The following is a 13,478-nucleotide window of genomic DNA, read 5'->3' as shown; positions in this document are numbered from 1 at the left end:
CTGGGGCGCACAGAGGGATTGGGACTTCTAGAGTGGGGCCCTATTGCTGGGCACAGTGGCTCAGGCCAGTAATCCAAGCACTTTGGGAGGCCAAGGACGCAGGAAGATCGCTTGAGGCCAGGAGTTCAAGACCAGGCTGGGCAACACAAGAGAGACCCTGTCTTTACAAAAAATAAAATAAAATTAGCCAGGTGTGGTGGCATCTGTAGTCCCAGCTACTCTGGAGGCTGAGGCGAGAGGATCGCTTGAGCCTGGGAGGTCGAGGCTGCAGGGAGCTATGATTGTGCCACCGCACTCCAGCCTGGGTGACAGAGTGAGACCCTTTCTCAATTTTTTAAAAAAGGGGAGGATGGGCTTTGGTGATCGTGACATCTGCTCCACGGCTTGCACCTTATTTAGGGCAAGCACCTGCCTCAGTTTCCCTGATAGTAAAAATGGGGATCCACACCTCTAACTGAAAAGTCACTGAGGACTCAGTCTGACGAACGTGAGCCCCCACACGAGGGTGCCTAGTTCCCACGAGAGAGACAGACCTGGGTCCCCAAGGTGGGGTCAGGGGCTGAGGGCTCAGCCTCTATATGTGCTGACTCTGAGGCCAGACTGTCTGGGTTCAAACTGTTTCAACTTCTTAGTAGCTGTGTGTCCTTGGGCAAGTCACTCAGCCTCTCTGAGCCTGTTTCCACCACTCTAAAAGGGTGGGAGGGGCATCACTTAGTTATTCAGCAAATATTGAGTGAATGCCTGCTGTGTGCCAGACACTGTTCTAGGCACTGGAGTGCAATGAAATCTCTACCTGTAGTGCTATGTAAGGGTTAAGATAAACTGTGTGCTTAGCACAGCACGCAGCACAAACGACCACGGCTGTCTTTTTGTTTTGTTTTGCTTTTGGGACAGGATCTCACTCTTCACCCATGCTACAGTGCAGTGATGCAATCATAGCTCACTGCAGCCTCCACCCCCTGGGCTCAAGTGATCCTCCCACCTCAGCCTCCCGAAGCACTGGGATCACAGGTATGAGCCACTGCAGCAGGCCTGTCATTTATTTTGCAAAACTTAAGAGTTGGCCCGAGTGCAACACCCCTTCTAGCACTCACTGGGGGCGTGGAGTGAGGGATGCTGCTGCTCTGAGACTGTTCCCTCATCTGTATAATGCAGGGAATATTTCCATTATACACTGGAGTCAGGAGGAAAGGAGTTATGAAGCGCCTGATCCACAGGATGTCCCTGTATACCCACGCAGGTGTCATTCTAACCAGCAGGCTGCCTGACCTGCTGCCCTAGCAGGCTGAAGCAGCCTGTGCCCATCCTGCCCCATCAGAGACCCCCTGCAGGAACACACACAGCCACAGAGATGGTCCAGTCGGGTTGGAGTTTATTTCTGCCAGAGCCTGGAGGCTGGGAGGGTAAAGGACACTCCTTTAGTCCCAGAGGGAAGCTCCGAACCCTCAGAGCAACCAGAAGGGAGGGCAGAGCATGGGCAGCAGCAGGAGTGAGAGGGGTCCCCTTGTCCTGCCCCTTTGCAAGGGTTCAAGGCTGGTGGAGGCCTGGGGCTTCTGTCGCTCAGGAGTTCAGGGGTGGACGCAGAAATGGGGGAAGGAGAGTGGCTACGTAGAGAGTGAGAGCGAGATTCCTAAAAAGATGCACAGAGAGACCCTCAGAGAGGCCAAGAAAGATGGTGAGAGGGTAGGGAAGGAGAGGGAGGGAGAGAGAGAGAGAGAGAGAGAAGCAGAGGGAATGGGTTGCACTGGCTGAGGATGGTGGAGGAGCCGTCTCACTCCCTTCCTAATGTCTATAGATCAATAACGAGGGAAGAAAGGAGGACAGGGAGCTGATGGAAACACAGCTTGCCAACTGTACCCAGTCCCCCAACAAGCAAGGTAGCTCCAGTCATTGCCTCCCTGCCTGCCCCGCTCCTCTGTGTTTAGGGGTCATCCTTTGATGGGAGGTTGCAGGGGACCCAGGTGGGGGTGATAAATGCCAGAGTGCTGCACCATTTCCAAAGGGCAAGAAGTCAGAGGGCGGGGTTCCTGGGACAGGGGCCCGTGGGGTCCAGGGAGGAAGGGGGCTGGGCCCCATCTGTTAGTGCATCTGGGGACAGGGTAGGGTCACTGGGGGTGGGCTGGTGGGGACCCCTCAGGCTCCGGGGATGGCCCAGACCCAGGCTGTGCTTCCTCTGCCTCCTCGTCGGATGCCACGCCCTCCTCTAGTCGGAAGACCTGGCGCACCGTGCGGGTGGTGAAGGTGAGGGGGCCGCGTCTGTGGGGAGGAGAGACCAGGATACAGAGATGAAATGAGGGGAGGGGAGGGGAGGAGAAAGGGGGAGGAGAGAGAGAGATGAGGGGGAGAGAGAGAGAGATAGGAAGAGAGAGAACAAAATAAGGGGGAAGAGAGGGATGAGATCAAGAGAAATGGAGGGAGACGGGCAGAAGCAATGGGGGGCAGAGAGAGATGAAGGACACACAGAGAGGAGGAAAGGAGAGAAAGGTGGTGGTGCACGGTGGGAAAGGAGGGCACAGAGATGACAGGGAGAAATGGGTGTGGGAAGAAAGAAGTTACCTGGATTTGGCTCTCCCGCAACACAGCCGCTGCTCCCACAGCCCCACACCCCCGTGGATCCCATTTCCCCCTGTTGTTGCCCCTGGCACGGCCTCGCGTCCCTGGGGTTTATGGAGTTAGGGTGCTCCCCACCCGTCAGGCCTGTACGTGGGATGACCATACCGAAGCCGGTTCCTCAGTGTGGTCACTTCACGGTTCATGGACTCGGCCGACTCTGTGACATCTTCCAGCTCACGCTGCAGCCTCCGGCGGCCGGCCTGAGCCCGGGATGCCTCCTCCTCGGCCTCCTCCAGCTGCCGCTTCAGCTGCTTGACTCGAAGGTTTCCCTTCTCCAGCTTGATGGAAGCAGGGGGACTGGGTTATATCTCCAGGTACTGTCATCACTCCCTCCCTCTCCAACAGCCCACTACTGCCCCATCCCTACTGCCCCCTGACTCTCTCTGCCCCATCCTCTGCTCTCTGTTTAGGCCTTGTTCTTTTCTCCTAAATCCCTCATGCCAGCCTCTACCCTGACCTCCAGTCTCTCCCCTCCAGGTTGTCTCCTACATGGCCTCAGAAAGGTCTTCCTATACCCAGAGCTGACCCAGACCCTCCTGCTCACAATCCTTTCATGGCTCCCCAGTACCCCCGGGACAAGGTTCCAGCCCCTCAGCCTGGCATTCCAGGCCCCACAGGGTCTTTTTCTTGTCCAGTTCTCTCTTCCCATAAACCCACTGTCCAGACCAACTTCACTGAGATCCTCCCCAGACCCTACCACCTCTCTCTTCAGGGAGGGAACATACATGATCTGACCTCATTTCTTATCGTTCAGCCTTCCTATCCCACATTTTCTGGAGTCAATGAGCTCCCATCACAAGAAGCAACGTGCAGGTGCTGGACTGGAAGTGAGTGCAGATACCATCCTGGCACTTGGCACATCAGCAGAGGGTTGGAATCAATGACTTCGCAATTTATAAATTCTGGCATCTAGGAAGGGCCCTTGTAGGGAGCTGAGGCAGCCAAAGTGAGGGAAGAAGTTAAACTCTACCAAGAAGCTAGACCAGGACTAAAATAACAACAGATGTTTATCTAGACCATACTAATCTGCTTTTTGTTCTGAACTCACCAAACGTATTTCTATTCTTCAAGGCCTTTATACTTGCTGTTCCCTCTGACTGGCTCTTTTTCACCCTTCAGGTATCAATTTAAATGTCACCTTCTCAAAGAGTTCTTCCTGATCTCCCAACCTGAAGAGGATTCCCCAATCCTCTGTGTCTTCCTCTCTCTTCACTTTTTTTCTTCATAGCCCTTGTCACAATCTGTAATTATCTGCTTGTTTACAGGTTTATTACGTCTCATCCTATGCAGAAAATGTGAGCTCCATGAGGGCAGGGACTTCCTCTGTTTCGTTCACATCCATATCCCTAATGCCTACCACAGTGTCTGGCACATAGCAGGTGCTCAATAATTGTTTGTGGAATGAATGGCGAATAAAGCACAGCTGAGCTTTTAAGGGCAGAGGGACTCTGTCCAGACAGACCTGGGATCTGATCCAGGCTCTATCTCTGTGACTCTGATGCAAAATATATCCTCTTAAAGTTTCAGTTTCTTCATCTGTGAAATGGGACTAGTGAGGAAATGCAAATATGTATTTTTTAAAAAGCAGTTGCTTATGACACAGTAACTGCTCAGTAAGTAATCAAGAACACACACTCTGGGGCTAGAGTGCTGAGGTTTGAATACTGACCCCACCTCTTACCAGCTAAATAATTTTGAGCAAGTTACTTCACCTTTCTGTACCTCAGTTTCCTCACATAAATAAGAGGGTAAATAATAGCACCTTCCTTCTACCATTCTGATAAGAATTAAACACAGTAAATGTTATGTCTTTAGCACAGTGCCTGGTACATAGAAGCTAGTCCTGGTCTAGCTTCTGGGTAGGGTTTAACTTCTTCCCTTGCCCTGGCTTCCTCAGCTCCCTACAGGGCCCTTTCTAGATGCCAGCATTTATGAATTGCAAACTCACTGATTCCAACCCTCTGCTGATGTGCCAAGTGCCAAGATGGTATCTGCATTCAGTTCCAGTCCAGCACCTGCACATTGCTTCTTGTGATGGGAGCTCATTGCCTCTGGAGACAGCCTGTGCAATTTCTCAGCCAGTGGTCACACTCTCCACTGCTCCCTAATGATGCCAGCTGCTTACCTGGTCCCGGAGCTGGTCAGCCACCCTCCGCTCCTCCTCCACCTGGAGCACCACCTCTTTAAGCCGCTTCTCAGCTCTGCGCACCAGCTTTCCAGAGAGGATGCGCTCTCTGAAGAGAGGGATGAGGAGGAGTCTCAGTAGAGGGGCTCAACCTAGGATTTTGTCCCCATAGACTCATGCAGTGGCTGTCACCTTGTTCTTGGATTGGCTTCTTCCCTCTTTCCTAACCCCTAAGTGGTTCCCACAGTTTACTGAGGCCAAACACTGACATGCAGGCTGCCTTCTCCTCGGCATCCATGTCCTTGGCTTCTACTAGGACACCTCACATACCTGTTTCCTATGATGTTGTGAGTTATAATAAGTATATGTTTGGTCCTATTCAGTTTCCAAAGAGGATCATTTACAAACTACAGTTTACTCTTTGGGCCCATTCATTTTCCCCTGAAAATCATTTACTATCTCTCACAATTGAATACATCCTTTTTGTCTCTCTCCCCTATAAAGAGGATACTTAAGCCTCAACCATCTGACCCTGTATAAAAAGTCTTATATTTTGCATGGCTCCTGTGTTCATGCACATTAATATATTTGTAGCCTTTTATTTTGTTAATCTATTTATTGTCAGTTTATTTCAGCAGACTTGAATCTTCAGAGCGGGAGGGAACACTCTTTCTGCCCTTACACCTGTCCTCTCCTGCATGGACCATCACATCTGGGGTGAAGTCCATGTGATGGGACCTCTAGCAATCGGGATTGCTTGACAGCCACCCTGGATACAACAGCCCCAGATGTGCTGAGAGGAAGGCACAGGGCTGGGGGCGAGTGGGAAGGCACTAAGCAGTGGAAAAGGATGAAGGAGAGAGACTTCTTTTTTTTTGAGACAGAGTTTCACTCTTGTTGCCCAGGCTGGAGTGCAAAGGCACGATCTCCAGCTCACCGCAACCTCTGCATCCTGGGTTCAAGCAATTGTTCCTGCCTCAGCCTCCCGAGCAGCTGGGATTACAGGCATGTGCCACCACACCTGGCTAATTTTGTATTTTTAGTAGAGACAGGGTTTCTCCATGTTGGTCAGGCTGGTCTCGAACTCCCAACCTCAGATGATCCGCCCGCCTCGGCCTCCCAAAGTGCTGGGATTACAGGCGTGAGCCACTGCGCCCGGCTGAGACTTCTTCAGCTAAGAATCATCTGGTCATTCTTTGCTCCCAGGGTGACTTTATTATTCTTCTGAGAAAGGGCCTTGCTCTGTTGCCCAGACAGGAGTGCAATGGTGTGATCATGGCTCACTGCAGCCTCAATGTCCTGGGCTCAAGCGATCCTCCCACCTCAGTGTCCCGAGTAGCTAGGACTACAGGTGTGTGCCATCATGCTGGGCTAATTTTTAATTTTTATTTTTGTAGAGATGGGGTCTCGCCATGTTGCCCAGGCTGGTCTTGAACTCCTGGGTTCAAGTGATCCTCCTGCCTCAGCCTCCCAAAGTGTGGGGATTACAGGCATGAGCCACTGCACCTGGTGCAGGGTGACTTTAAGCAACTCATCTACTCCCTCGGAACCTCAGTTTCCTCATTTGTATAATGGAGCAGGGGTCCCCATAGACCTCAAGCTACAGTTCCCATAAGCCCTGGGGCCCCTGGGTGACCCTGTGGACTGAGAACCACTTGTCTCATGCACCTCTGGGGCCGTTTCCTTCTGCCTGTCCCTGAGGCCTTTCACTCTCATCAAGTTCCACAACGAATTTAGCATCTTCCTCCAAAAAGCCAATATTCCCTCAGTCACCAGGCCTTAGCTCCAAACAGTGTCTTCTTCCCCTGCCACCACCCATAGCCTCCGCTTCATTCCTTCTGCCCCCTGCTTTCTCTTCTTCATCCTCTCTTGTTCATCTTCACAGCCCCAGCCCCAGCTCAGGCCTCATCTTGTTCTGCTTGGACCATCATTCCAGACTCCTTCCAAACCTCCCAGCTTCCAGTCTCCCTCCTCTGATCCATTCCCACCTTAGCCCCAGAGAGATCTTTCTATACCTAGAGCTGGCCGTGTCCCTCCCCAGCCCACAGCCTTCCCATGGCTCCCCATTGCCCCCAGGGCTCCCCACTGCCCACAGAACAGAGTTCCGTGGCCCAGTATTCAAGGCTCTGTGTGCTTCAAGCCTCATTTACCTCCCTGTCTCCCTGATCCCTCTCCTGGGTCCCAGACTCTCAGAACCAACCACACTCCTCCTCCAAATGCCCTGATGTCTCCCAGACTTTCCCACAAAGCTGCCAACTGACTTGGGACTCTAAGCCCTGGAAATCCCATTCTTGTCAGCTCCAGCTCAAGTGCCTCCTCCTCTAGATACCCTTCCCAAACCACTACATCTCAGGGTATTCCAGCTTCTTCTTCATCTGTGTCCCTTCAACCCTTCTAGTTCATAGGCCTTCATTGCCATGTCCAGCTCATGAGTCTTTCACCTTGGGGAATCCCACCAGACATGGTATTAGACATACCATGGAGGTAATTAGACATACTTCCATGGTACGTCTAATTTTTTCAGTGACCAGCACATGGGAAGGTAAACAGTACACTCCTCTTTTTTTGGAGTCGGAGTCTTGCTCTGTTGCCCAGGCTAGAGTGCAGTGGTGTGATCTCGGCTCACTGCAACCTCCACTTCCCAGGTTCAAGTGATTCTCCTACCTCAGCCTCCTGAGTAGCTGGGATTACAGGTGTCCATTACTACTCCCGGCTAATTTTTGTATTTTTGGTAGAGACGGGGTTTCATCAGGTTGGCTAGGTTGGTCTTGAATTCCTGATCTCAAGTGATCTGCCCGCCTTGGCCTCCCAAAGTGCTGGGATTACAGGCGTGAGCCACCATGCCTGGCCCCAACAGTACACTCTTAATATTTGTTTGTTGAATGAATGAATACAAAAGGGAACCTTATATAAATTTGATGTATAATATAATAACATTCCTCCCCATGAGATAATGTGCAGATGATGAATAGCAAGTCAAGTATCCTACATTTATAGCCCATCTCAGCCTCAGTTTTTCTACATGCAAAATAGGATAACAATGGTCTTTCTCTCACAGGGATTATGTGGTATCATACAGGTATATACAAGTAGTCCAACACCTGATATATAGTAAATCCTCAATAAATAGGAACTATTAGTATTGTTGTAATTATTGTTGCTGAATAGTACTGAGCAATAGGAAAATCTATTGTATTGGAAGAGTGAAAGGTATTAGGCTTAGTAATAAATATTCTGTTCATTTTATTAGCACAGCAGTTCTCAACTAGGAATGTTATGGGGGCATTCTTGGTCATTCCAGCAACTGGAGATGGAAACTCTTTCAGCCCCATACTACTGCTGCTTCCTGTCTCTGAACATGGATGTCTGTGGGTATGGTTCTTGGTGCAATTGCAGCCATTTTATGACCATGAGGAAAAGACTAAAAAACAACACAGATGTTGATCCAGAGCCCTACCATCTTTTGGCTGCCTAGCTCTAGACTTCTTATCACTTGAAAAAAAGACATTCCTCTTTGTGCTAGACTGATACAACAGATGGTCCCAGTTCTCACCCCTTTCTGTATCCATACCCTTGGCAATATGACTTTGCAGTTGCTCCTATCAAACAGTCATATCTATTTCCCCATTCCTTTGAATCTGAGCGGGCTGAGTGACTTGCTTTGGTTAATAGGATATGGCAGAAGTGACACAGTACCAGTTCCAAGTGCAGGCCTCAAGGAGTCTTTAGCACTTTCCCTTGCTCTTAGAACCTTGACTCTGTCATATGAACAATCCTGGGCTAGCCTCCTGGAGGATGAGAGGCCACATAGAGCAGAGACAAGTTAGCTTAGTTGTCCTAGGCAAAGCCTTAAGAGTTATGCAAGCCCAGCCAATACCACTCATGCTGTTCTTGAAAAGAAAAAAGAAAAAAAAAATGAAAGCCCAGCCAAGATTAGCAAATCCATCTAGCTGACCCTCAACTGAGCGGATGATGAGTGAAGCCCACCAAGCCCAAATGAGCAGAACTTACTAGCCAAAGACTCATAAGCAATAATAAATGGTTGTTGTTTTAAGCCACTAAGTTTCAGAGTAGTTTGTAATTCAGCTATAACTAACTGGCACGTTATTACGTAAATAATACTCGTAGTGAGACTGCAGTTACTTGCAGCCCAAAGCATCCTAAATGATACAGAAAATCAGCAATCATTTAAATATTTACATATATTTACACACTTTGTTTGTTTTTTCTTTTTCTTTTTCTTTTTTTTTCTTTTTGAGGCGGAGTTTCACTCTTGTTGCTAAGCTGGAGTGCAATGGCGTGATCTTGGCTCACCACAACCTCCGCCTCCTGGGTTCAAGCGATTCTCCTGCCTCAGCCTCCCGAGTAGCTGGGATTACAGGCACGTGCCACCACGCCCGGCTAATTTTTTGTATTTTTAGTAGAGACGCAGTTTCTCCATGTTGGTCAGGCTGGTCTCGAACTCCCGACCTCAGGTGATCTGCCCGCCTCAGCCTCCCAAAGTGCTGGGATTACAGGCGTGAGCCACCGTGCCTGGCATCTTTTTCTTTTCTTTTTTTCTTTCTTTTTTTTTTTTAAATGGAGTCTGGCTCTGTCACCCAGGCTGGAGGGCAGTGGCGCAATCTCGGCTCACTGCAACCTCTATCTCCTGAGTTCAAGCAATACTCCTGCCTCAGCCTCCCCAGTAACTGGGACTACAGGCATGAGCCACCACACCCAGCTAATTTTGGTGTTTTTTGGTAGAGATGGGGTTTCACCATGTTGGCTAGGCTGGTCTCAAACTCCTGCCTTCAAATGATCTGCCCGCCTTGGCCTCCCAAAGTGCTGGGATTACAGGTGTGAGCCACTGTGCCTGGCTGTTTTTTTTTTTTTTAGAGACAAGGTCTTCCACTGTTACTCAGGCTGGAGTGCAGTGTTGTGATCACAGCTCACTGCAGCCTCAAACTCCTGGGCTTAAGCTATCTTCTTATCTCAGGCTCTTGAGCAGCTGGGACTACAGGCACACGCTAACACACCTGGCTTTTTTTTTTTTTTTTTTTTTTTTAGAGATGAGGTCTTGCTATGTTGCCCAGACTGGTCTGAAAACTCCTGGCCTCAAGGGATCCTCCCGCTTCTGCCTCCCAAAGTGCTGGGATTACAGGCGTGAGCCACCATGCCAGGCCAGCAGTCATTACTATGATGATGTCTTTTGGATGTTTCTAAACCACGTGTTTGTAACACAGCCTCCTTCCTCTCACCAACCAGAATGTGGAGGTCACCTTTCTCCTGTGGCCTCCGCTCTCACCTACCTGGTCTCTTGCTCTAGCTGCTCCTCAGCCTGGGCCAACTTAGACTCAAGGGCAGCAATGGTCATCTTGTGGCGGGCACGGGCCCCAGCATCCTCCTCACCCAGGCGTCCCCGTAGCTCCTGGATCTGCCGTTCCAGCTGCTGCCGCCCGCTCTCTGCCTTGGCTGAGAAACTGCGCTCAGCTGACAGCTCTGTGGTCAGTGACTCTACCTGTAGCAGGAGGGGAAGGAAGGATGTCATGGTGGAGTCTCAGAGGGAAGGTGGTAGGTAAATCCAGGCACCTCTGAGAATTAAGTGCACTGATGATTGTCACACGCATAGCACAGAGCCTGAAACATACTAAATACTCAACAGATGTTAGCTTGTATTTTTATTAATAGTTTATTGACTTGTCACCCACAGCACTGCCAGCCCTGGGTCTTAACATTTTGGATAGTTTTCTGCTTACTTTAATAAGTCCACGAGACCATCACAAACTTGTTTAAATGTCATAAATTCTACTTCTGACTGTGAATGAGTCCATTCTAAGGGTTATCACACTTTTGTTTGCACCAGGATCATCTGGGGGAGCTTGGGAAAAAAATGCAGACATCTGGGTCTCACCCTTCAGAGATTCTGACTCAGCAATACCAAAGTGGAGTCTGGGAATCTGCACTTATAACGGGCATCTCAGGTGTTATATGCAGGAGCATTTTGAGAAACACGGCCTCAATAAACAGTAGCTGCTACGTGGAAAATGTGTAAACACACCCCTAATAATAGTTCCCGTTTATTTATTCAGCTCGTACTCTGAGCGAGGCCTTCTGCTGGGTACATGGAAGTGAGTCAGACCCAGTCTGATTCATACTTTATTTTACCCTCGCAGGGACACAATGACTGGGTAATTAGCATATTCTCCTTTGTGGGGTTTTTTTTTTTTAACTTAAAAAACTTTTTTTGAGACAGTTTTGTTCTGTTGCCCAGGCTGGAGCACAGCCGTTGCCCAGCTGGTGAAATCCCAGCTCACTGCAGCCTCAAACTCCCAAGCTTAAGTGATCCTCCCACTTCAGCCTCCTGAGTAGATGAGATCACAGGCGTACACCATCACCCCTGCTAATTTTATTTTATTTTATTATTTATTTAGAAACCATGTCTTGCTCTGTCGCCCAGGCTGGAGTGCAGTGGCACGATCTCAGCTCACTGCAACCTCTGCCTCCCAGGTTCAAGCGATTCTCCTGCCTCAGCCTCTTGAGTAGCTGGAATTACAGGTGCCTGCCACCACAACTGGCTAATTTTTGTATTTTTTGTAGAGATGGGGTTTCTCCATGTTGGTCAGGCTGGTCTCGAACTCCTGACCTCAAGTGATCCACCCACCTCAGCCTCCCAAAGTGCTGGGATTACAGGTGTGAGCCACCACGCCCGGCCTCAAACTTTTTATTGTGAAATAAAATGGTGATACAGAGAGCCAAACATTAATCAAATAAAAAAAATCAGTAATAAATATTCTGCTAGTTTTATTAGCACAGTAATTCTCAACCAAGAACATTATGGGAGTGTTCCTGATTATTCCAGCAGCTGGAGATGAGAACCGTTTCAGCCCCATGACCCTGCTGCTTCCTGTCTCTGAACATGGATGTGTGTGGGTGTCATCCCGCACAGGCATCATGAGTTAACAAAAGGCAGACATCACTGTCAGTAGCACCTTGGTCAAGAAAGAGAACTTTGCCCTTCCAGAAGCCCTTTCATGCACTACTCCTAATGAAAACCTCTTCCTTCTCCCCAAAATATCATGTTATCCTGACTTCTCAGGTCCTCATTTCCTTGTATGTCTTTAGTTTTATTACACACAGATGCATCCCTAGATCCTATAGTTGAATCCTACCCATTTAAAAAAGTAGATGTATGTGGGTTTGTTGTTGTTGTTGTTTGTTTGTTTTTGTTTGTTTTGAGACACAGTCTCACTCTGTCACCCAGGCTGGAGTGTAGTGGCACGATCTCGGCTCACTGCAATCTCTGCCTCCCGGGGTCAAGCGATTTTCTTGCCTCAGCCTCCTGAGTAGCTGGGATTACAGGCACGCACCACCACACCTGGCTAATTTTTGTATTTTTAGTAGAGATGGGGTTTTACCATGTTGGCCAGGCTGGTCTCAAACTCCTGACCTCAAGTGATCCACCCACCTCGGTCTCCCAAACTGCTAGGATTATAGGCGTGAGCCATCACGCCCGGCCAGATATATGTCTTTTAAGTCTCTTTTAACCTGCAGTTCCCTCCTCCATCCCTTTTATTCCTTTAAAATTTTTTTTTTTTTTTTTTTTTTTTTGAGATGGAGTCTTGCTCTGTCACCAAGGCTGGAGTGCAGTGGTGCAATCTCAGCTCACTGCAACCTCTGCCTCCCAGGATCAAGTGATTCTCCGGCCTCAGCCTCCCAAGTATGTGGGACTACAGGCACACACCACCACGTCCGGCTCATTTTTGTATTTTTTTGTAGAGATGGGATTTCTCCATGTTGGGCAGGCTGGTCTCAAACTCCTGACCTCAGGTGATCTGCCCGCCTCGGCCTCCCAAAGTGCTGGAATCACAGATGTGAGCCACTGCCCCCAGCCTATTTCTTACAATTTATCTGTTGAAGAATGTAGGTTGTTAGCCTTGTAGAGTTCCTCTCTGTCTGGATTTTTCTGATCACACACTTACGGTCTAATTCAGCATTTATTTGTCTCTCCTCTGTGTTTCCTGGAAATTGGCAGCTGTGTCCAGGGACTTTATTCTTTCTTTCTTTCTTTCTTTTTTGTTTTTTGTTTTCTGGAGACAGGGTCTCACTCTTGTCCAAACTGGAGTGCAGTGGCACAATCATAGCTCACTGCAGCATCAAACTCCTGGGCTCAAGCGATTCTCCGGCCTCAGCCTCCTGACTAGCTGGAACTACAGGTGCACACCATCATGCCCTGATAGTTTTGTTGTTGTTGTTGTTTTTGGTAGGGACAGGGTCTCACTTTGTTGTCCTGGCTGGTCTTGAACTCTTGGTCTCAAGCAATCTACCTGCTTCAGCTTCCCAAAGTGCTGGGATTACAGGCATGAGCCACTGCACCCGATCTTTCTGTCTTATTTGTGAATTTTCTTTTTTCTTTTCTTTTTTTTTTTTTTAGATGGAGTCTCGCTCTGTTGCCTAGGCTGGAGTGCAGTGGCTCGATCTCGGCTCACTGTAACCTCTGCCTCCTGGGTTCAAGCTATTCTTCTGCCTCACCCTGCTGAGTAGCTGGGACTACAGGCACCCGCCACCACGCCTGGCTAATTTTTGTATTTTTAGTAGAGACAGGGGTTCACCATATTGGTCAGGCTGATCTTGAACTCCTGCCAGCCTCGGCCTCCCAGAGTGCTGGGATTACAGGTGTGAGCCACCGCGCTTGGCCTTATTTGTGAATTTTCAAGGGAATTTGTACCTGTGATATTGCTTTGCGTATATACTTCATGTGTGC

At 49.2% G+C, this 13,478-nt stretch overlaps 1 protein-coding gene across 3 annotated transcripts in view; it reads right to left on the bottom strand.

The window, feature by feature from the left end:
* MYH14 (myosin heavy chain 14) overlaps nucleotides 1,356–13,478 on the bottom strand; it is a 106,919-nt gene continuing 94,796 nt past the window's right edge. For all 3 annotated transcript variants that reach the window (NM_001145809.2, NM_001077186.2, NM_024729.4), the window contains 4 exons: nucleotides 10,027–10,235; nucleotides 4,739–4,847; nucleotides 2,719–2,891; nucleotides 1,356–2,256 (listed from right to left, as the gene is read on the bottom strand). In NM_001145809.2, the coding sequence (NP_001139281.1) occupies nucleotides 2,106–2,256; nucleotides 2,719–2,891; nucleotides 4,739–4,847; nucleotides 10,027–10,235 (642 nt within the window). In that variant the 3' untranslated portion in view covers nucleotides 1,356–2,105. The remainder of the gene's footprint in view (nucleotides 2,257–2,718; nucleotides 2,892–4,738; nucleotides 4,848–10,026; nucleotides 10,236–13,478) is intronic.

Source organism: Homo sapiens, chromosome 19 (assembly GCF_000001405.40).
Source record: "Homo sapiens chromosome 19, GRCh38.p14 Primary Assembly".
Taxonomy (NCBI): domain Eukaryota; kingdom Metazoa; phylum Chordata; class Mammalia; order Primates; family Hominidae; genus Homo; species Homo sapiens.
The sequence above is the reverse complement of the archived record's forward strand: the minus strand, read 5'-3'. Positions and strand labels throughout refer to the sequence as shown.